Raw genomic sequence first — 24,774 nt, 5'->3', positions numbered from 1 at the left:
TCCTAAAAGTTCAGAAATGTAAACAGGGAACTTTAAAACACATACTTTGTCATTCTGAGGATCTGCATCTTTATAACAATCATTTGAATGTTTTAAATGCATTCATTTCAGATTTTTCTTCTAAAAAGCAATTCTATTTGTTTCCTACACTAAAAATAAATAAATAAAACAAAAATCATTTCATGGCTGAATCTTTATTTTCACTTAAGAAAATGCTCAGGAAGACAGCTGCAGGTGGAAGCTACGACTATGCTGAGCTCTCAGCGGGGGCTAAGGCAGGCAGGGCCCTGGCCGATGGCAGATCATCCCTCAGGTGTCCCTGTACTCCACTTTTCCTGAGCGCCGGGAGAGCTGCACACACCACCCCACGAGCAGGCCCCTAAAACAGAGCCAAGTCACTTCAGGAGTGGCATCCATCTCAAGAGATTCTGTGAAGGGAGGTCACAACCCAGCAACAGGCGGAGGCCAAACAGCCCTCATTCGCGCTGCTCCTTTGCGATTCAGAATCCCTGCTTCCTCACCGTGAAACGTCATGGGAGCTCCAAGTGTCCAGCTCAGCACGGAATAGAGCTCCTTGCGGTCAGCACTCTGCATGGGCACCATCAGCGTGGCCACAGACAGTGAACTTTAAAAACTAGGCAACAAATAAAACCTGAAGACAACACTGCATGAATACTGGCAAGATTCGGGATGGCCTGTGCCATCAAGGTGCTTCTGGAGAAGTTAGAAAACTCAGAAAGGAACATCATGAGCTCAGAAAGTACTCAGCAAATGAGAAGAATGTGGAACAGGAGAGACAGAAAAAGGGCAAAAAATGAAAACACTAACTGAGGGGTGCTCTGAGTCCAGGTTATAACGTATATTATATTACCCAGCATATACTGTATATAAATGTATATTAAAACTTCAAAGCAAAGACAAGTTGAAGAAAACAAAAGTCCCTAAACCGAGTCGATTAAGACACTCACAGTTGCAGGTGGTGGATAAGACAGCAACGGACCCCACTTGGCCATGGCAAGTGGACAAGATGGTCTCACCAACCAGGTCGACCACTGTATGAGAGCTCACCGGTTGTACTAATTTCCTCTAAATCCTCTCAGATTTACTTCTGGCCTAGAAGTAGATAATCTGTATCTGGTAGCATTACAGGCTTTTTCTGTTGACTTTGTTGTGGTAGAAAATAGATCAAATACAAAAGAGGACTTAACAAATACAATCAGACTCACATTAAATCCTTGGAGTGATACCCAAACTGAACAGTAACTCCACCTCCTTAAGACATACATGGGCTCTTGTGCATAAGGCTCTGTAATAATTTTTACCACTGTAATCAAACTAGGTCACCAAAAAGATAGTGAGAGATAAAATTTATCCTCAGAAAACTTCAAAAAGGCCAGTTTACCCAGCCAAACTGAGAGCTGGATTTCAGACAATAAGAAAGAATTTGTAACAGACGACATCATCATAAAACTTTGTTTCTTGAAATGGTAAATGACCATTACATCTAGAATGGCCATTTAGTTTTCAGATAAATTTCTATTTCAAATAAACGTAAGCCTAACAACCTAGATTTTTTTAAATCACTATTATGGCTATTTTAATACATTTAAATTCCACTTTTATGTAAAAGGCAAATATTAAGCCAACAAATTAATGTAATAGATTTTTTTAAAAAAACATTTTATTTAAAAAAAAGTTTTTTAGGTCTGGCGTGACGGCTCATGCCTGTAATCTCAGCACTTTGGGAGGCCGAGGCAGGCGGATCACCTGAGGTCAGGAGTTAGAGACCAGCCTGGCCAACATGGTGAAACCCCATCTCTACTAAAAATACACAAATTAGCTGGGCATGGTGGCATGCACCTGTAATCCCAGCTACTCAGGAGGCTGAGGCAGGAGAATCGCTTGAACCTGGGAGGCGGAGGTTGCAGTGAGCCGAGATGGCACCATTACACTCCAACCTGGGCAACTCCATCTCAAAAACATAAAAATAAATAATTTTTTAATTTAGAAAGAATTTCAAGCTCAGCAAAAGTGATACACTCTTTATTCAGATTTACCTACTGTTAACATTTCTGGTAGAGTGTTTTTATTTATCGTTTGCATGCATTTATTCTGTCCCCTCCCACATGCACACACATCTAGGAGCGGGGAGCATCTGAGAGTAACTTATATACATCATGGCCCTTTACTACTAAATAGTGTGTATTTACTAAAACTGAGAACATTCTTTTACGTTACCACAGTACAACTGCCAACTTCATAAACTTAACATTAATACAAAACTTTAATCTGCTGTTCCTATTCCCATTTTGCTACTTGATTTATTAATATTCTTTAAGGTATTTTTTTCTCTCCAGTCCAGAGTCCAGTGCAGGGTAAGACTGTGCAATTACTTGTCATGTCTCTGTAATAGGTTTTTTAACTAAAAAATTATTCAGTAGGGTATGAAAATAAATGTTTATTATAATACTTGAGAAGTATTACATGATCTTGAGTTTCCTTCAAAGGCATTATATAAATTCATTTCTTTTATTCACATAACCATACAAACAGTGCTATGCATATGTGGTCAAATGATTTTAGACAAAGTCATCAAGATACTTCAATAGGGAAATAACAGTCTTCTTCAACAAATGATGTGGGAATAATTGATATCCATGGAGTGAGAGGATGAACATTTATTTACTTTCTCATTTCATATACACAAATTAACTCAAAATTTATCACTGAGTTAAATGTAAGGGCTAAAAGTACAAAATTTCTTTGAAAAACCATTTTTTAAAAACTTCGTAATTTTGTGGTAGGCAAAAATTTCTTAGCTAGCACATAAAAAAGCATGAACCATAAAAGAAAAAAGTTGATAAATGGGCTTCCATACATTTCTGTTCTTCAAAAACCACCAAGAATATGAAAAGACAAGCCACAGACTAGCAAAAAAATCTGCAACACATAAATCTGACAAAGAATTTGTATCCAGGATATCTGAAGAACTCTTACTATTGAGTTGTCACTTAATAAACAAATCAGTTAAAATTGGGCAAAAGATTCAAACGGACATTTCACAAAAGAAAATATACAAATGACCACTAAGTACAGGAAAAGACAGTCAACAACATTTGTCATCAGGATCATACAGCTTAAATCCACCACACACCAAGTTTGGGTTAAGACGAACAACTGCAACTCTTGTACACTGTTGGTGGGAGGGTAGATGCTGTAAGTACTTTGGAAAAACTTACCATACAACAAAGCAACTGCACTCCTGGGTACTTCCCAAGGAGAATAAAACATATCCAGCAGACACTCAGTACATTTCCAATGTTCATAGCAGGGTTTTTTGTAATAGCTAAGACTGGAAACAACTCAAATGTCCACCAGCAGGGGACGGCTGACTTGTGGCACAGCCGCTCGCTGAGGCTCTCCCAGCAGAAAGAAGGGTCAAATGACATGCACACCTCAAAAGCACCGAGTGAAGGAAGCCGGAAACAGAGAACACGCGGAGCACTCCATTTCCAGCAGCCCCCCATTATCTGCGGCTCCCGCTCCACGGTGTCAGTTACCCATGGTCAGCCACAGTCTGAAAAGATTAAATGGAAAATTCCAGAAATAAACACTTTGTAGGTTTTAAACTGCGCACCATTCTGAGAAGCATGATGAAATCTCGAGCTGTCCCACTCTGTCCCGCTTAGGGCACGAGTCTCTTCTCTTTGTCCAGCATGTCCACACCGTATATGCCACCTGCCCTGAGTCACTCAGTATAACACACTGTTATAACTGATCCATATTATTATTAGTTATTGCTGCTAGTCTCTTACTGTGCCTAATTTATAAACTTTATCAAAAGTATGTATGTACAGGAAAAAAAGATCGTATACAGAGGGTGTGGTACCATCTACAGTTTCAACCATCCACTGGGGGTCTTGGGACGCATGCCCCATGGATAAGAAGGGACTCCTGTATATGAAACTTCGGGAAGTCAAATCCCATCTACAGTGATAGGAAGCAGATGGGTGCCTTCCTGGAGCAGGGGCTGAGGAACTTCTGCCAGCGATGGTTCCCTTCTGTACCTTAACTGTGGTGATTATCACGTTAAGTATGTAAACTTGTCACATCTTTTCAAACCGTACATTTAAAATGGTTCATTTGACTCTACATAAATTATATCTCAAAGTTGAACCTTTTAAACAGAGCAACATAATACCAAGTGATGGCAAGGGGCCACTCTGAGTTGAGAGGGCAGGAATGGCCTTGCTGAAAAGGTGGCATCGGGGACTTAAATGAGAAGAAAGATGCCCTAAAGAGGGTGTACATTTGGCCAATGTGTACAGTCTCTAACTCTTCATTTCTCAATGTTCTGTAACTGTGTGAGGACATAAGATTGAGCCAAGTCGCCCAATTTTATTTTAACATTTTTAACATTGAATCCCCCATAGTTGCTATGGACAACAGGAAAACAATATGCACTATACTTCCAGGCCTTTCCTAAAAGCAAACTCCAGCTCCCACCCTAGTTCCACGCCTTGCTTTGTGTTCAGAAATTCTCATGTGAACCAGTAAACTCAACAAACCCTTTACTATTTAAGAAGGAACAACCCTTGATCTCTACTCACTCCTCCCCAAAGTAACGGTCCACCCTGTTCCTTCCGCCCTCTGAATACACTCCTGTTGTCCCCACCCTCCAGCCCAACTCCTCCCCACTGGCAAATGTCCTCTTTCACACAGACACACTTTACAGAGGACTCTGGGAGAAAGCGAGAGCTTCTGTGCCCCAGGCCAAATAACAGGTTTAAAACTCGTGTTTTGCTCCTGCCTGAGCTTCGGAACACGACAACTACCAGCAGATACATCCCCACGTCCACTGTCTACACGGATGTGGCACACACAGCGGGTTCCGGATCTGTAAGAACGCAGAGTTGGTGAGGTCTCTTGCACACGCGCCACCAGGCAGGCTGCCGTCCTACATGTCTCCCGCCAGCTCTGCCCAGATACTGTTTCTACATTAATGCTGCAAAGTGCTCTCATTTTCATCATGTTGAGCTTCAGCCTAGAATTACTGAACTGAACTTTATCTCTATCCACAGAAGAACTACAGCCTGCGGTTAGAAAGGTCCCTGTGTGGGCACGTCCTGGGGGAGGCCGGCCAGAGCAGAGCTGTCCCGGACGGCGCCTCCCAAGGACAAGGTCGAGGGAGCTGGCTCGTACTTCAGCAGCCCCTGAACCGCCCGGCCCTAAGCCGTCCTGCACCACCCATGGGGCCGACTCCCGGCTGCAACTCTTTCCCCTCACCCCGCCGCCGACAGCAGAAGTTTCAGGGGACAAGGGGGACCTGCCAGAGCGAGAGTGGAGGGTGGAATACAGTCTAAAAGGAACATACAAGTGTTAAGTGACAGGCTCTATGGAACTGCCGGAGCAGAGCCCAGCAGAAGACAAGCGTTTAAGAAGACAAAGCAGTAGAAACCCCGTTTTCCTGACAGGGCGTTCGGAGCCCTTCACAATCTGACCCCAGCCTACTCCCTGGAGCCAGGTGGGGATGCCCAAAGGCCTCACACTCCCCCCGCTGTCTGGTGCTGGGGCCTGAAAGAAGCAGCAAACCCCCCACCCGTGGGCTCCCACGCCCTCATCTGTGAAGACATCACCAGGCCGCTCGCAGGTCTGAGGGGAAATTAGAGGGTAATGACGTCAGCACCGGCCCAGGGAAGGCAGGACGGCGACAAGCACAGTGGGTTCTCTTGTTTGGCCCTCTCCGCCCTGGGCCATGCAGAGGCTGGAGCAGGGCCAGGTCTACACCCGGTCCGTCCACTCCTCCCTGAAGCCGCCACTACACACAGCGCTCGGTAAGCAGGGGCCCTCCCCAGGCATCGTGGAATGAACGAGGAGCATTTCACTTGCTCTACCCTCTGGAATAAAAGGGGGTCAGTAAGGGAAAAAAGACTCCAGCAAGTAACTCAAGAACCAGAAACAATAACTGACAATTTCTGATTAAGTCCTTGGACTCTGGTAACCTCCTAATGTTTCTCCCTAGTGCGCGGGTTCTCAATCAGGGACAATTGTGCCTCCAGGGGACATTAAGCAACATCTGGAGATGATTTTGATTGTCAGGACTGGGTGGGGGTGGGAAGGTGCTACTGGCACTTTGTGGGTAGAGGCCAGAGATGCTGCTAAACATCCTACAATGGAAATGTCAACAGCACCAAGGCTAAGAAACCCTGCCCTAGTTAGCGCTGAGCAGTAAAACCAAAGGTGCCTGTACACCAGCAAAGAGGGCCACTGGGGAAGTGGTGTGCCACTCTGCAGCTAACCCGAGATGTGCAGGAGTCCCAAAAGGCAGCGGCTGCTCAGGGCAAAAAAGCAAAGGAAACCAGGCAAAATCCCTGGGAACTTTAAAAATAGAAAAGTCAATCGGCTAGAGGCCGCAGCGGGTGAGGAATCTGCTGCCCTGGCCTGGATGTGGAGCGCGATTCCAGAATATCACTTGAAGTCATTTCATGGAATACAATCACAGTGCTTACGCGCTGCCTGACACAGCTGAAGGCAATTCCACACACCAACTCCTTTCACCTTGCCAAAAATGGGATAAAGCAGGTACTATTCCCATCCCCATTCTGCCGAGAAGGACGCTGAGGCACAGTGAGATCAAGTAACCTGCCAAAGTCACACAACTGAACAAGCAGTAGGCAGGGCAGAACACACACCTGGCAGTCTAGAAGCTCTCGGTCACGTGGCATCCACACCTGCAGACCTCATGCTCACCACCATGCAGGATCCACGCACTCAACACACATGGGCGCCACCCCCCGCCCCGCAGCCCATGTGCTCAGCACAGCGCTCTAACCACCAGTCCACACTGCCTCCCTTCCTGTGACACAGAATTCGGACCCCACCTTGTATAGACCAATTTGTAAAGTAGCTCTCCCTGTGCTGAGCTGAAATCTGGTACCCACCTGGCCCTGGTTTCTCTCTTTCCTTGGCACTGCTCACCGTCTAGCTGCCCATCACATGTCCCAAGACAGCCTCATGCTCCCTGCCAGGTCGCAAGTCAAACAATGCTACTTCCCTCAACCATTTCTCACCGGTCATCTTTTCAGGAACTCTTGCTGTTCTGGGGATGCTCCTCTGGATATACTTCAAAACCCAACAACAACCCTCTTATAATGTGGACTCCCCTCCACAGCAGCACACAACACCCATCAACACAGCATGTCTCCCCAGGACAAACAGAAAGACTCTGAAGCAGTGAAGTGGAACCCTGGCCTTGAGGGCCAATCAACGTCAAATGACTTGCCATCTCCTAATAGAGCAAAAAGTGGTCAGTGGCTGTAAAAACCTCTACATCTGACACAGTGGGAAATGGAGGAAGCATTACTACTTTTTAAATTATTATTATACTTTAAGTTCTGGGGTACATGTGCAGAACGTGCAGGTTTGTTACACAGGTATACACGTGCCACGGTGGTTTGCTGCACCCACCAACCCGTCATCTACATTAGGTATCTCTCCTAATGCTCTCCCTCCCCTAACAGGCCCACCAACAGGCCCGGATGTGTGGTGTTCTCCTCCCTGTGTCCATGTCTTCTCATTGTTCAACTCCCACTTACGAGTGAGAACATGCAGTGTTTGGTTTTCTGTTCCTGTGATAGTTTGCTGAGAATGATGGTTTCCAGCTTCATCCACGTCCCTGCAAAGGACATGAACTCATCCTTTTTTATGGCTTCATAGTATTCCATGGTGTATATGTGCCACATTTTGTTTATCCAGTCTATCAGTGATAGGCATTTGGGTTGGTTCCAAGTCTTTGCTATTATGAACAGTGCTGCAATAAACATACGTGTGCATGTGTCTTTATAGCAGAATGATTTATAGTCCTTTGGGTATATACCCAGTAATGGGATTGCTGGGTCAAATGGTATTTCTGGTTCTAGATCCTTAGTCCCTTTGGAGGAAAAGAAATGAACCCATTCTTACCACCAACCACCATGTTGCACATGACAAACAGAAAATCAAAAATTAAGTGTTACAGTAACTGAAACCAAGGAAAACCTTTCTCGTCTTAACACTCAACTACAAAAGCATACCTCCCCCCTCGCCCAGATGAAATGGAAACACTTTAATGGAAGGGTTATTTCCATTCTAAAAGTTACTTTATACAAGGAAAAGGAAAAAGCCCTAGACCCAACTTCGCAGGCTTCACAGCCCCTCACACTGTCAGCATCCCTTTCCTGGTGCTTGAAAACATAAGAAATAAATTAGAGAGCAAACCACAACAAAGTCGGTTTGAAGCCTCTCAGCCATGCCTACGACAAACCATTTCTCAGTGTGACAGGTACCGTTATTACCAACACACAATCCAATTTTCTCTGAGAAAATGACATGGTTGAGAGTCTGCCTCTCATTCCTAAAATGTATTCAGCAGGAGTCTTGATGGAAGATTAAACACAAGGAGATGTCCCCCGAGCAGCTGAGGGGCGGGATCAGGAGAGAACAGACTGTCCCCACTCATTTTCTTAGTACCCCTTCTCTAACTTTAGCTAGCTTGCTTGCATCAAAGTAAAATTGGTTTTCTAACTAGTCTTTTATGAGGATTAAAACGTTGTCTGAGCTTATTATTTTTCAACTCAAGTGACTATCCAGAATTACTCTGATGGCTTAAATGTGGCTTACAGGCGTCATTTGCTTTGGTTTCTTATCACCTATGCTTGTTTCACCTTCAGAGTGAGGAAAAAGCAGAAAAAAAGAGAAATATGTGAAATTACCAATAAATGTATTCTTTCCAACTCATCTCAAAGTAAAGCAACAGTGCTTACTCTAATAATTCTGTACCTCAGAAATATACACATTTAGCCTAATAGTGTCTTTTTTTTGTTTTTTTGGTTTGTTTGTTTTTTTTTGAGACAAGGTCTCACTCTGTCACCCAGGCGGGACTGCAGTGGTACAATCCTAACTCCCTGTAGCCTCCACCTCCCAGGCTCAAGCAATCCTGCTGCCTCAGTCTCCCAAGTAGCTGAGACTACAGGTGCATGCCACCATATCCAGCTAATTTTTTTAATTTTTCTTTTGTAGAGATGGGGTCTTGCTATGTCAACCAGGCTGGTTTCCAGCTCCTGGTCTTAAGCAATCCTCCTTCCTCAGCCCCCTAAAGTGCTGGGATTACACACATGAGCCATGAAGGCCGGCCTGCATTCTTAATCAATTTCCACAAGGAAGAGTAAGTAAACATTTTTCTAAGAAATAAAGAAAAGATGTCATAAATAATAACATTTTAACATTTTAAAATAAAATCCCTTTACTTACAGAAAAGAAGCAGATTATCCCACACAGCAGTCTGAAAGAAAGCTCTCATCAGCGAATCTAGCACAGACAAAACATTTTAAAATGCCCTATTCATCTAATACTGTTTTCAAAGTAATGACAGAAATAGCATACATCACTGCTTTATTTCACTGCTTATAGAGCACAGACCAACCTTTTTTTTTTTTTGAAATAGGGTGTCCCTTTGTCGCTAAGGCTGGAGCGCAGTGGTGCAATCACAGCTCACTGCAGCCTCGACCTTCTGGGCTCAAGGGATCCTCCCACCTCAGCCTCCCAAGTAGCTGGGACCACAGGTGCGTTCCACCACAGCTGGCTAATTTTTTTGATAGATGGGGTCTCCCTGTGTTGCCCAGGCTGGTCTCAAACTCCTGGGCTCAAGCAATTCTGCCTTGGCCTCCCGAAGTGATGGGATTACAGAGGCGTGAGCCCCTGCACCCAGCTTAACATGACTTCCTAAAATCAGATTCTGAACTCAAGGTTTGTTTACTTTCGCAGTTTAACAAATATTTACTGAGCCTATCTTTTGAAATACTTCTTTCAGTAAGATTATAGAGTTGGTCTTCAAATCTAAAGTCAAACCCCCCAGACAGCAGACAAAGGCCCCTCAGGTCTCACCCCAACCTGTACCCCCGCCCTCCGGCCTCCACATCTCTGTGGTCTTGCAGACTCTGAGCATCTCTGAGGGATGTCTCTAGTGCCTGGAAAGCCCTCACTCACCACCTCACCAGCCTGGCAACCCCTCCTTCCCTGACTCCTCTGTGAGAGCGCAAAGCCCCCAGGCCCCATAGCCTGCCGTGCCTCTCGTTCACCAGGTCAGCAGCATTTACTGAGCACCTCGCATGGGCCAGGAGTGTTCTAAGCACCACGGGTCAGCAATGAATCTGACATATCAAAATGGTCGCCCTCTTGAGATGTGTTTCGGGTAGGGAGACAGAACTATTAAGTATAAATAACTAAAGTATGTAGCAAATTAGGAGATGAATGTTATGGAGAAAAAAATAAAGCAAGGCTGGGCAAAATGACGTGGGAAAAAGCGCCGAGGTGCAGTCTAGAGCAGGGTGGTCAGGACGCCTCACTAGAAGACGGCATTTATTCCACTTCACCCATAATGTGTTTGTTACCAACTGAAGGTTTGAGGAAACGGCACCAAGCAGGTCTGTCAGCGCCATTTTCCCAAAAGCACACGCTCACTTCGTGTCTCTGTATCAGCATATTTTAGCAATAACATATTTTTAAATGAAGGTATGTACACTGGTTTTTTAGACATAATGCTATTATACACTTAAACCATAATACAGTGCAAACATAGCCTTCATGTGCACCAGGAAACCAAAAAGTGTGTGTGGCTCACTTCATTGCACCATTCACTTCACTGGGATGGTCCGAAACTGAACCCACAAAATCTCCAAGTTATGCCTGTAGTAATATCTATCACATATCAAGCACTACACTTCAGCCTGTGTAAGGGTGACCTAATAATTCCATGAGACGCTTACGCCTGGCCCATCCTGCACCTGAGGACGCAGGGGCTGGGGAATGAGTGCAGTCACGATGCTAGGAAGCGGCTCAGCCCACGTGGAGACCCACGCGGCTTGGCCCTGACGCCTATACTCTTAACCACGACAAACTAAAAATAATACTGCTCAAAACGCTTCCCACAAAAGCCAAAATCCAATATGATCGATTCTAAAAAAAAAAACACTTAATTCAGAAAACAAAGTGATCCCTTATCACTTTTGATACAGTGTGAGAAATCAGCAGATCTCCTGGATGACGTTCTGGCGGTCAGCAGTCTTCTGGACACTTTCTGGACACCAGCCCACAGTCATTCCCTCCCACAGCCCACTCAGAACTGCAACTGGAAATCCAAACGCATTCAAAAACTGGCTAAGCCAGGTCAGCATTTTAGCCAGAAAGTATCTGCTTCACTCGCCAGCAGATTCTCAAATCACAATCATTTGACTCAAAAAGCACCATTAGTTACAGACTCCAGTGTATGCCAGATTATGCCAGAAAAGCATACATGTCCTGGTAATGCAATAAATCTTGACCTAAGCTAGAAGAGTGTCAAAAACCTAAATACAGAAAAAAGAGTTGGTATCGAAACAGACACAGCATGGAGCATCAGGCCTCATTACAAATCATGTTTTTAAAGAATTTCAATCGCTTAAGAAAGGGCTCACAACATAATGCTGTTAATACATAGCATATGAAACATAAATACAACAGGACATATCTATCTACCTATTTACAGTTCATGAAAATAAAAGGGAAAGATGAAGTAATAACATAAACAGCGACAACCGGGCGCGGTGGCTCACACTTGTAATCCCAGCACTTCGGGAGGCCGAGGCAGGCAGATCACCTGAGGTCAGGAGTTCGAGACCAGCCTGGCCAACATGGCGAAACCCCGTCTCTACTAAAAATACAAAAATCAGCCAGGCGTGGTGGCGGGCACCTGTAATCCCAGCTACTTGGGAGGCTGAGGCTGAAGAATTGTTTGAACCCAGGAGGCAGAGGCTGCAGTCACTGGAGATTACACCACTGCACTCCAGGCTGGGCGACAAGAGCGAAAACTCTGTCTCAAAAAAAAAAAAAACAAAAACAGCGACTACAAAGGAGTAAATTCTCCTTTGTAAAAGTGTTTTTTTACAATTTAGAAAATCTCAAATTTTCTAAATTGAACATGAATTTTAGATTGGAAATCATGCACTCTGCTCATCTGTAGAGTCTAAGTTCTCTTCGGTGAACCTCTGACCACCCTCCTCCCTTCAACCCCGTCTCACGGCACACCTTGCTTCCCACCCGGGGTCAGCCACCGTCTATTTATTCAGTTCACTATATCGACTGAATTCCTCAATAGCCCGCAACCTTACCTTGCCGGATAAATGTATATTTTATGATGCCAAATAAAAATCTCCATTTTAAACCACCTCTGCAGATGGAAAGGCCCTGTCTTTATGCTGGTAAAGAATGTCACAGCACATACCATTATAAACGCCACACGTAACCCATTCATCTCCTGAAATTTATGTCAGAAAGATTGGAAATAAAATCTATATTAACAGCAAGTGCTTAATATCAAATGCGGTATTAAAAATAACAAAAATTTTCATTCCTGTAATACTAAGAGGCGCTCTTCTTAACTCCATTTAACAGACACACAGTGCCACCTATCAGCCATCCTCTGTAACTGCAGGTGCAAGGTAAAGAACCGCTCACAGACACGCCTTCCCCTCTCCCTGCTATTTACATGCCAAAGACCACCACAGGTTAAGAGGACAGCCCTATTAGAAGCCCCTGCTCTTTCTATATTGTGTTCTTGAAAAGTTTTACTTCCTTAGGAACTGGAGCTTTTTACTGCTGAACTGAACCCAGGGACTGCAATCCCAGCGAAGTCTGAACAAATCTGTGTCTAAAATACGGGCTGTTATGATACCCAACGGTGTCCTAGGAGAAATCCAAGCCAATCTCCAGGTCCAGCCCTCAACGGCCGCCTGATGGGAAGGGACATAACAATTAATGGCAAATTTCTTACAAGGATTACCCACACGTCTTCTTTCCTCTAACCACCCCCTCTTCGGCCTGCAACTGCTGTGATTTGGCCTCTGCCCAGCTTCTCTCACAAGGCTGCTCACCCCTGTGTGGTGAACCCAAGGGCTACCTCTTGACCCTCATCCTGTGTGACCTCTCAGTGCCACTTAACAGGGCCCCCTGGCTTCTAGAGTTTTCTTTCTCTTCTCAGGCGACTCCTTCTTGACTTCCGTGACAGTTAATTTTGTGTGTCAACTTGGCCAGGGCACAGCACCCAGTGATTTAACCAGACACTAACCAAGGTGTTGCTGTGAGGGTGTTTTGTGGATGTGGTCAACATTAAGGAAAGATGACCCTCTATAATGTGGTTGGGCCTCATCCAGTCAGCTGAAGGTCTCAAGAACAAAAACTGAGATTTCCTCAAGAAGGAATGCATTTCCCCGAGAAGGAATTCTGCCTGAGTTTCCAGCCTGCCAGGCTTCCTACAAATTTTGGACTTGCCAGCCTGAAAGCAAGCCAATTCCTTACAGTTTATAGATAATGTAGAGATAGAGATAGTGGCCAGGTGTGGTGGCTCACATCTGTAATTCCAGCACTTTGGGAGGCTCGAGCCCAGGAGTTCAAGACCAGCTTGGTCAACACAGCAAGACCCCATCTCTTAAAAGAAAAAGAGATCGTGAGATACCCGCTATTGGTTCTGTTTCTAAAGAGCCCTGACTAACAATCTCTCTGCCCTTCTTTCTCTGCTCATCCTTAAAAGCCTGACCTTTCTGCTGGTTCAGGCTAAGGCCGTCTTGTCCTCACCTGCTACTCTCCCTTGGTGACATCCATTTGCAGACCTTTTATTTCTGTGAGCACACCTTTGGTCCTCAAATCTCTATGTCTGGCCCAGACCTGCAAAGCCTCCAACCTACAACTGCAACTCAACATCTCCACCAAACTAGACCTAGTCTTCCGCTGCCTCAGAAGGGTGCCCCGCTCCTGTATCTCCTGTCAGTAAATGACCCCCCACCCTCCTAGATAAGCAGCAAGAACCCTGAACCTTTTCCTCCCACTTGTCAAGCTCTCACCTATGCTCTGGAGCCTCTCTCCTCTCCCGGCTTCCTCCATGAGCCACCTACAGCCATTTCCCAATACGGGCACTGTCCTGCCTCCGCGTGGTTCTACAATGGCCTTCCTAAATCCAGACTCCATCTCCAATCCACATCCCCTGGTGCAGCCCAAGCACTTTTCTAGAACTTAAGTTGGGTCACATTACACTCCTGCAGAAAATCATCAACACCCTCAGGATAAAATCTAACTCCATGCGAGGCCCCTCCAGGTGGATATGCCTGTCTTTCCTCGGAGCCCCAGTTGATAATGTTGGCCCCTGTGCCTTCCCCATAAGCCCTGTGTAATCTGGCCCCAAGCGCATCCCAGGCTTCACACTCCCCATTCCCATGTTCAAACATGAGGTCCAGGGAGGCTAAATTCCCTCCAGACCCACAGGATTGCGCTACTTCTCCTTCACCCTAGTGCTGCACACAGATCCTGCTGCTGGAAAACCCTTCCCCTCCCATGCTGCATTCCCTGCACTGACCAGGTCACACCAGCCTTCACTCCGACCTGAGTTGATCTGAGTCGTCCTGTAGGACGGCCATCAGCCACATATGGCAATTTTAACTCACAATAGTTAAAGTTTAAAACGCTGTTCCTCAGCTGCACCAGTCACATTTCAGGGGCTCAGTGGCCACCCTGGGCAGCACAGAGACAGACACTGCCATCACCACCGAGCACCACTGGAGAGCACGGACCCAGATCCTCACACTCCTGTCCACACGGAGGCCCACCCTGGGCTCTTGCGGCTCTCCCAGCACAGCCCTGACATGCCCTGGCTGCTCAGCGCCCGCAGTGGGACCTGGCGCTCTGCAGGTGCTCACTGACATTACTCGATGTTGCCACAGTGGCAGAGCTCCGCCATCCACATCTCCACCAGCCTCCCACGGCAACAGGTGTCTTAATGTTCTTGTGAGCTGGGCAAGTCAATGTCCAATTTCCAGTTGTTAACATCAGCCTTCCCTTCCCAGTAAGACAAAATCATGCCATTTGGGGATTTATCAACAGGAAGCATCAAATAGAAGTTATGAGGAATATTAGTGTGGAACTGGGGCTAAAAGAGCAGAGCTCTGGAACCTTCTCTGCCCACTAGCCTGACCAAACCAGAGCAGCTACCTTTTTATCTGTTCAAATATTACACTTCAACCAGGACTTCATCTGAATAAAAGACCTATTTGAAAAGATGAAAAAACCAATGATATGTATTTTTTTCTGATTTTCTCTCTCCAAATATTAAGGTATTTAAACATACTCTTAAACATTAAAAATTAAAAATAGAGCCGGCGCAGTGGTTCACGCCTATAATCCCAGTGCTTTGGGGCTGAGGCAGGATGATCACTTGAGGCCAGGCGTTTAAGACCAGCCTGAGCAACAGAGCAAGACCTCAACTCTACAAAAAAAAATTTTTAATTAGCTGCAAGTGGTCGCCCACACCTGTAGTTCCAGCTACTTGAGGGGCTGAGGTGGGAGGACTGCTTGAGCCCAGGAGGTCGAGGCTGCAGTGAGCTGTGATCACACCACCGCACTTCAGCGTGGGCGACAGAGCAAGGCTCTGTCTCTCAATAGTAAGTATTTATTTATTTTATATCTATAACTCATTTACCCTGCAACAGGCTTCTCTAGTTTAAAATGCATTAACATAATTATATATATTCAATTCAAGCAATTTGTTACAGAAAAATCAATCCCTTTGCTATAGCAGGATGTATTTACATCTGCTTCACAAACTTCATGAAGAGTTTTTAACAACTCCCAACCCACTGCTGGACCCAGACTGCTGGAGCAGGCTAAAGATATTTTATTGCTGGCCCCACCCTCCCTCCTAGGTTTGTTTCCCACTACCTTCCCCACCACCGTAGGCTCTGGTCAAAACAGGCACCGCAGGCATCTGCCCACTCTCCTTCTATCTGCGCTCATTATCTTCCCTCCACCTGGCCTGTCCACCCACCCCCAGCTCTGCAGGCCAAGCTCTCAGACTCAGCTCAGATGGCAGCTTCTCAAAGACTTTCTTGATCCCCTCTAATTAAATGCAATCTGTCCCTTCTCTCAATTACCATAATTTGCATGATTCACTTTAATGACATTTAGCTTGTAGTGGTTCCCATTAGAGTTATTTCCGTATTTTTAGCTTTTTTATAAGCTCTTGAAGGCAAGAACCGAATCATCTCGTACATACTTAAATCCCCTAATTTAACAACAGTGTCTTGTACCTAGTAGGTACTCAAGTACCTCCTGAATAGAACTGAGAAGTAGAAAGACATCCATTACATTACAAAGCAATTCAAACTGGCTTCCCCCTCAAGTAAAGCGTGCAAGTTACTAAACGCTGGCTGATCCAAGAGTGGGCTGGCGCTGATGGCGGTCCTCAAGTTAGAAGCACATTAGAGTCACCTGGGAAGCTTTTACCATCCAGGTGTCCAGGCTCCACCCAGCCCAAGCCCAATTACATCAGAATCTCCCAGGGTGGGACCCAGACTCCGGTCCATTTTACAGCTCCTGGATGAAGCCCACGGTGGGCCCAGGCTGATTTTCACCTGCTCTCACACGGAGGCTTCCCCGCAGGCCCCACCCCTGTCATTTCTGGAGGCGGAACACATAAAGCAGATGTGTAAATACCCTTCTCATCTACACGTCAGACGGAAATAAAAATCGGACAGATGATGGCTACTTTCATCTAAAAAAACTGTTTTGCTTGTTTAAAGATTCTGAATTTTTAGTCAAACTCACAGAAGCAGAGAGTGGAATGGTAGTTACCAGGGGCTGCGGAGTGGGGAGATGTTAGTCAAAGGGAACAAACTTGTAGTCAGAAGATGGGCAAGCTCTGAAGGCCTAATTCCAGCATGGTGAGTACAGTTAGGAAGAGGGTACGGTGTAGTGGAAATCTGCTGAGAGGAATCTTACATATTCTCACTGTACACACTGAAAAAGGTAGCTGTGTGAGGTGATGGATGTCTTCATTAGCTTGATTGTGGTAAGCATTCCACGATGTACATACCTGTATCAAATCATCACACTGTGCACCTTAAATATGCACAATTTTCCTGCTCTTGATGTGTGTGTGTGTGTGTATATATATATATACACACACACACAATTTTTACTTGTCAATATACCTCAAAAATATACCTATTAAGTACTCATAAAAATTAAAAATTATATTTCAATAAAGCTAGGAGAAAAAACCCCCACTGGCCCAGACGAGCACCTCAAGGCGCAGGTGTGGCAGAGGGAGAGAGACGACCTCTTCTGAAGCCAAAAGCACATCTTCAGGGCACCCACTCTGTTGGTCTATGTGGCTAGCACAGCTGACCAAATGAGGCTGTGGAACCAGTGAAAGCACACAGGTAGCCGAGGTCAGGAATCGGCACCATCACTCCTGGAGAGTGAGCGTCTTACCCGGCAAGAGTGGCCCAGCAGGTTGGAAGCACTGCATAGTGAACCAAGAGGAAAGGCACACCCCTAAGACACAGGAATGAGCGGCCGTCCAGAGAAAGGTGACTGCGTGCTCTGCAGAAGTATTTGCAGCATGTCTTCTAACCAGAACAGTGTTTTAGAATTATTTTTAAAAACCCACAGACCTACTGATCTGTGCACTTGCTAACACAGACGATTCGGGGCATGCTCTCCACCGCACTAAGGAGCAGGAGTTACAGAAGGGAGCGTAGCAGGGAGTGCACCGAGCAGGAGCGAACCTCGTCAGTGCAGCTTCACTGCTCAGACGCTGCTTCTGGAGGGACCCTACTCCATCCCACACAGCGAGAGTCCATCTGGGAGGGCTGACGGCTTCCAGAAACCAAGTCAGCAGGAGCCCTAGAGTAGTGTGTGACTCTACCCTGGGCTGTGAGCAGAGCTCGGCAGTGACTCTTCCACAGTCTTTCCTAAAGGCAGCACTGACTTGCTGAGGAACTAGCAAAGGCCACGCCTCAACATGCCCCGCCTGAAGAGGGTCCGCAGATAATTATCACAGGCCAACCCGGACAGTATTAGAACGAGGCTTCCATAAGTAACTCCTCACATGTCTACAACAGGCTCTCTCCTGCTTTTGTAAATAAAACTTTATAGGAACCCAGCCACTCCTAGTCGTTCAACACGGTCTTCGGCTGCTCTGGCAGAACTGAATAAATGCAGCACAGACCATACGGCCTGCAGAGCCAAAATGATTCACCATCTGGCCCTTTACAGAAAAAGTTGGCCAACTCCCGGTCTCATATCACCATGGGGAAAAAAAACACTACAGCAGCTGTTACCTGGCAGGCTAACGCACAGAAACGGGCATTCTTAGGCCTCAATATTAAACTTCAACTTAGTCATCAAGACCCATACTTTGGAAAGAAGTCCCTTTCTTCGTGGCTACAGGAGAGGCAGTGGTGCCCACCAAACATTCTATCACCCTCCCGCTTCCAGTGCCCGGTGGAGGCTGGCCCACGTGACGGCCCGGGGAGGAGGGGTGGAATGGCGCACCAGCTGTCTCCTCCCCGGCAGCGGGGACCTGAGGCGATGTGTTCCAGAAGGGCAGCCACAACACGGTGGTGGAGCCTACTGCCGACCACACCAGACGTGAACCACGTGCAAAGAAATAAACCTTTGCTGCTGAACACTGAGATTTTGGATTAATTTTTATCATAACATATTCTGGTCTACTCTAACTTAGGTGGCAAAGGAGGTGACCTCCTTTGTGTCTCTCCTTTCCCACAACGGGGTATAGAGTTCAGCTATGTGACAAACGAGAAAGCATGGCCAGCCCCAGGACATTCAATCCTTCCACCTCTCAATCCTACGTGAATTCTCTATCACTTGCAAGGCACTCATAACACTGGAGAGGTCCTGTTCAAAAAAACCAAGACGGCTGAGGGAAGACAGGATTTATTCTGCACAAACTTGACAGCCAGGGCCAAGCTACACCCTTCTGAAAGCCACAGAGAAGAAATGATTATCCTAGTGACAAAGTGGTCAGGGACAGGGTTTCCCTCTTTGAAGAATAATCTTGCCGGCTATGGTGGCATGTTCCTGTAGCTACTTGGGAGACTGAAGCAGGAGGATCGCTTGAGCCCGAGAGGTCGAGGCTGCAGTGAGCTGTGATCACGCCACTGCACTCCAGCACGGGCAACAAAAAGAAGAATCCTCTTCCCTCCGCATTTTACATAATTTTCAGTGTGATACAGTGGGAAAAGCATGAGTTTTCAAAGATGCGGGAAACGGGCTTAAAAGCCAACCGTGCCACTTGGCAGCCACATGATCTCACCTAGCACATAACCCAGGCGCCTTTCGCCACCTTTTCCCAACTCTGGGGCTCAGTGTCATTATCTACTAAATAAGGGGCTCCATCTACATGGTCTCCAAGACCATCTCTGCTCCAAAACTTCTATAAAGTCCAGGGAGCTAAACTGTCAAACAAGAAAATTCCCACCCCGTGAGGAGCAATCTGTAACTGCTGGCAGTTTCCTCTGCTTTATGATGGGATTAAGATTGAACAGTGTTCCCTGCTGCTGCTTTCACTGATGAGGAGACACAGCTAATGTCAGGTGGGATTGAAGTGGGAAGGACATGACCCGCTAGCTTTCTTCATTTGCATACTCCAGTCTCTTTCTAGTTCCCCTTTCTTTGTACTTTGTATTAGACAAGTGTTTAAGAATATGCAGCAAAAACTGAACTGTAATTTGTTTACACCCTCAAAAGTTATCTAAACAGAAAAAAATTTTAATTATAAAAAAATCTTAACAGTAAAATTTCAAACAACTTTAAAACACAAAATGGAGAAAGTAAAAGTTATCCATCATTCCACCCCAAAGATATTTTATTTACTTTAAGAGTTTAGCATACATAATTCAAAAAATACGCAAACTATATATTTTATATAAAATGAAATATATGTAAATTTTACAAGTTCCTTTTTCACTTAATATATACTATAGCTATCTTTTCATCTGAATTTATATTGATTTACCTCATTCTTTTAAAAAGCTACATAGTATTCCACGGCACAGGTGACGCAATGCTGAGTGCTGTCAGTTGAGCCTGATTCTCTTCTCTGTACAATTCAGCGACCTGAGTCTGAGTAAGGCGAGTGAGTCATGCCACTGAGCTGACGGCGCGACTCACTCAAGCAAAGACTGATTAAAGGTGCAGGAAGGCTAATTGCCCATCACCTCCTGCTCACCATCTCGGGCTGTCAGTAGGATTTCTTTTTACTCAATAATCATATAGACTAGATTTTCCTCATTCCAGGTTTCAAAATTCCCTGAAATCTAAGAATTTTGAAAAAAATCATAATAATACATGAGCATATTCTATCTGACTGTCCCATTTTGGGCTCTAACTTCTATGTGATGACACCACATTGGCACCAAACCCAAATATGCATGAAACGAAACCAATGGAATTCACGGAAAGCATGGGGGAGGGCACCGCTCTTACTTTCCATCGATATTTGTGGCTAAAACTGTCCACCTTAAAATATATCTTGTCAGATAATAATAAAATATATTTACAATACTGAAATACTTCCAGTTGGCCGGGCATGGTGGCTCATGTCTGTAATCCCAGCACTTTGGGAGGCCAAGGCGGGTGGATTGCCTGAGCTCAGGAGTTCGAGACCAGCCTGGGCAACATGGTGAAACACCGTCTCTACTGAAATACAAAAAAAAAAATTCGCTGGGTGTGGTGGCGTGCACCTGTAGTCCCAGCTACTCAGGAGGCTGAGGCAGGAGAATTGCTTGAACCCAGGAGGTGGAGGTTATAGTGAGCTGAGATCGCACCACTGCACTCCAGCCCGGGTGACAGAGCAAGAGTCCGTCTCCAAAATAAAATAAAATAAAATAAAAATTCTAGTTAACTGAGTCATATTTCCATTTTCTCTTACAATTATATTGTCTTTAACAAATCCTATGAAACAGAAGGTGAAACAGGGATATTTACTAGTAATAGACAGTAATACCGTCTTCTAAGAATTATGGGCCTTTAATTGTGGAATGAAATCAAAGTACCTTACCCAGGCAGCTCATACCTTATACAGCGGGCGCCGCACATCGATGGGGCAGTTCTGTATTACTTCATCAACAACATCTGAGATGGACTCCATAAAGTCTGGGTTGGCAAACTGAATTGTGTATCAATATAAAAGAAACATTACACATTTCTCTCAAATAGAACAACATGCACACTTCTTTAAAGTAACTTTAACAAATATACAATTTATTATAACTTAAAAGAATTCACATTGGAATGAAGGATATGTCAAATGAATCCCATGTGACTACAAGTGCGTGGAGCGGTGATGACACATTTCTCCTCATGAGGTAAAATGTATGGATTTAGTGAAGAAAAAATACCAACAACATCACAGACAGACCACCCCCACCCCATGAATACACAGTGATTCAGTCTACTAAGAGCAGTGGAGAGTATGTGCACGATCTATGTGACACGCAGTGAGAAACATGACTTTGACATATCATTTGACAATATTCGTATTATGAGAAAATTAGTATATAAGGAAAAAGAAATAGGTTCAATGAAAGATTAATTAAACCTGGTCTAGAAGATGCAGGGAAGTGTTTTGTTTAATGAGAAGGGTTTGTTTAACATGAAACAATCCACATGATAATCATGTTATTGAATAAACAGCCATAGATTCAATTCCATAAGTTAAATAAGCTAAAGTATAACAAATTCAACTCAATTACATTTCATTTGAAATATTTTAAAAAATCAAAGTAAGCTTGAATGTGCACTCTCAGAGGAAGGAGGAGGATATTCAGTTGCTCACCAGCTGTTCACTGGACATTTGACTGTTCTATGTCCATTTCAAATCAACATATTAAAAGTGAGCATTCACTAGATTATCATTATTATTTTATTATTCAGATTACTAGCGAGGAACACATTCTATGCTGTTTCTCTGTACAAAATAGTCATATACACATCTAAAAACAAACAGCAGTTTGTAACCCACCTACTGAATATAAACTGAATTAGCCAGGAATATATACCAAAATATAAATAAAATGCATTATATGTAAATCTTAAAATGTGCCTCTTAATTACTGCTTTCTGCAAAAGCACTAATAATTCCTTATGACTACTAGTTAAAATGATGACATTTCTAATTCTTAAGATTATCTAAATAATAGAAATGCTGGCCTTAGACAGAAGCTTTACCTAACTTGCAGCAGGGAATAGAGCAGGACCAACTGTCCAGGGTTAAAATTAGAAGTTAGGAAGGGCAATCACCAAAGATAGAAAGGTTACATATTATCCCACTCTTATGCACAGGCAACCTCCATATAGGCCTTGAGAGTAGCTACTTGTAATGCTGGCATGTGACCACCCACAACCCTTGGAGATTACTTTTAATTCTATTGTCATCTATTGCTCCTAAAAGTCTTCCTATTTGTGGTATAACCCATCCTTAACTATTAAAACAGATAACCAGCTCTACGGAGAGGCAAACTGAACAATCTGTCAAGCAGACAAACTGCACAGGGGATGCAGAGAGACCGAATGACGGCCACCCTGCTCACAGGCCCTTCGCTGGGAACTGCTCTTTCTACACTCTGGGTGGCAGTATCGCTCCATCCCACACTTGAGCACACAAAAAAGGAAACATCTCACCTCCGGGTGAAAGAATATTTCAGGTCCCAGGAATCTTTCGTAACCAACGTCTATAACAAACTTCTTCTGGTTGATCGCATTGATACCCGTGTACTGTTTGATCCACTTCCGGGGATCCACATCATACTTGGCAAATTCCTTGACTATATCGGGGCAAATGTAACAGTATTTCTCCTGCATACACACACAAAGATGTTGCCAGGCATTAACAACTGCCCAGTGTCTCTGCCCTCAGACAAATAACCAGGAAGCCCATGAGCAAACACACCCTGGGATCAGAACCGCCCCCACCGTAACTCTAGTGTGGATATGCATCAAGCCTCACATTCCATCGTCTTTCATGTTAGACATGGTTACACTTGGACTTCGGACAGGTAAGTCTGCTTTCTCTGCAACTCAGCTATTAATCTCAGCCTTGGTCTATCCAATTCTATCGCTATCATATCTGAAATGATGTCTACAGGTGTCTAGAAAGCACCTCGTCTTGCCTTGTTCCTCTCAGATGCCTCCTATGGCCTGCTCTGGCACCTCACTGTGGTCCACACTGGACCAGCGGACCCGTGCTGCAAGCTCAACTACCGAGTGCGGCACTGTCTACACCCTAAACCTGACTGCAGCGGCTTCTTTGGGTCCCATTTGGGTCCCAGCACGCCACAAGCCGGGTGGCCACTGTCAACCTGCTGGTTGTTAATCTGGTGTGGAGCTGGCCACAGCACTGTCATCAGCTCCACTGACACCATCTCTTTGCCTAGAGACAGTGTACCTTGTTGACTGGGTATTCTAAGTCCCTCAATCAACACAGATTTATTGTCTAGGCACTTGGGATACACAAGGTAGCGAAACACACAGATCCCTGCCAAGATTACACTCTAGCTGGGAGTCAGAAAACAATAAGCAACCATAATAAGTAAATGACATGGTAGGTTATAAAGTGATAGGTCCCGGGGAAGAAAGGAAAAGCAGAGTCAGGTGGGAGGACTGAAGCCGCCAGGATGCTGCTGCTGCTGCGAGAGAAGTCGCTAACGATTCCCGCCCTGCACCGACAGGCAGCCTGAGGGATGCGAAGTGTTTCCTGGGTATCTGGTAAGATGAATGTTCTTGGACACCTTTGTGTTGATATGTGTCCTTAGAGCTGGCCTCCGCATAGCAGCAGGTGACCCCCAGATACTTGCTGCCTACGGGAAGCACGAGGTGGGCCGCCCAGCTGGCGCTGAGCACACCGTGGAAGGAATGGCTCTCTCAAGGACCTCCAAAGACGCTCTCGTGGTATTAAGTTTAAAGTTTCTTAGCATCCCTGAAACATATTCTAATGCCATCTTCTGGGTATCTTGGATATACTCTAGCGGAATTTTAAGAAGACTGACAGGCAAGAAGTGCTACACAACCCTGTGTTCTTTGATGACACAGAGAAACAGGGTCAGCTGATTACAACCTCAAATCTACCAAGACTGGAGACAAAGGCATTCAGTTCTCCTCACAGGCCTGGTCAACATCCTACAGCATCTCAGCTTACTTAACTCAAATGCTTGCTAGGAAATGTTTCCATTGAGTTGGGTGCAGAGTAACAGGCTTAACCTTAAGGTTCAGGATTCATGCTGCAAGGGTGGTGTGCTCACGTTACACACTCCCTCAGGCCTGTTCACAACCACAGAAGGCCATGGCAGTAAGGGGAAGCGGGGGGAGCTCTAAACCACGCCTTTCAGGATCTGTTCCTTCAAAGAGAGAAGTGAGGTGAGAACTAACAGGGCTACCCCACACAGCAGGGCCAGGGCAGCTGACTCGGAGGCTATGAACAGTCTCTTTTACTCCCAGCCTTCACAGGGGGGAGACACACAGTCACATCGAGCACATCAGCCCAGATTTCAGGGTCCAAATTGGAACCCCAACAGCCCGTGTGGAGAGTTGAAGGCCCAGCATGAGGGTCAGGAAAGCCCCTCCGTGGCAGTGTTGCTCAGCAATCCTGGCGGAAATAGGGAGGACTCAGACTCACTGGAGTGGACCCTGGGCGTCAATAACAAAAGGCTCAATTCTTTTTTTTTTTTTCTTTTTTGAAATAGAGACGAGATCTCGCTATATCACCTGGGCTAGTTTCGAACCCTGGCCTCAAGCAATGCTCCAGCCTCAGCCTCCCAAAGCCCTAGGATTATAGATGTGAGCCACTATGAAGGGGCTCAATTCTGACTTACATTTCTAACAGATTTGGAGTGGCAAGGGAGCTTGGATCAAATA

At 45.3% G+C, this 24,774-nt stretch overlaps 1 protein-coding gene across 15 annotated transcripts in view, besides 1 other annotated feature; it reads right to left on the bottom strand.

Annotated features, from left to right (window-relative positions):
• ACTR3B (actin related protein 3B) overlaps positions 1 to 24,774 on the bottom strand; it is a 95,627-nt gene that overhangs the window by 9,318 nt on the left and 61,535 nt on the right. For all 15 annotated transcript variants that reach the window (NR_146947.2, NR_146951.2, NR_146950.2 and 12 more), the window contains 2 exons: positions 22,546 to 22,719; positions 20,939 to 21,031 (listed from right to left, as the gene is read on the bottom strand). Coding sequence is in view for 9 of the 15 variants with exons in the window: in NM_001350942.2 (NP_001337871.1) it covers positions 20,939 to 21,031; positions 22,546 to 22,719 (267 nt within the window). In the remaining 6 variants the exon portion in view is untranslated. The remainder of the gene's footprint in view (positions 1 to 20,938; positions 21,032 to 22,545; positions 22,720 to 24,774) is intronic.
• Positions 223 to 366: a silencer, noted in NCBI's record as "fragment chr7:152542780-152542923 (GRCh37/hg19 assembly coordinates)". NCBI's record gives its function as "represses an EF-1alpha promoter that drives an FKBP-Casp9 reporter gene in an ReSE screen in HepG2 liver carcinoma cells {active_cell/tissue: HepG2}" and the evidence as "EXISTENCE:reporter gene assay evidence [ECO:0000049][PMID:32094911]".

This window comes from Homo sapiens, chromosome 7, assembly GCF_000001405.40.
Source record: "Homo sapiens chromosome 7, GRCh38.p14 Primary Assembly".
Classification (NCBI taxonomy): Eukaryota; Metazoa; Chordata; class Mammalia; order Primates; family Hominidae; genus Homo; species Homo sapiens.
The sequence above is the reverse complement of the archived record's forward strand: the minus strand, read 5'-3'. Positions and strand labels throughout refer to the sequence as shown.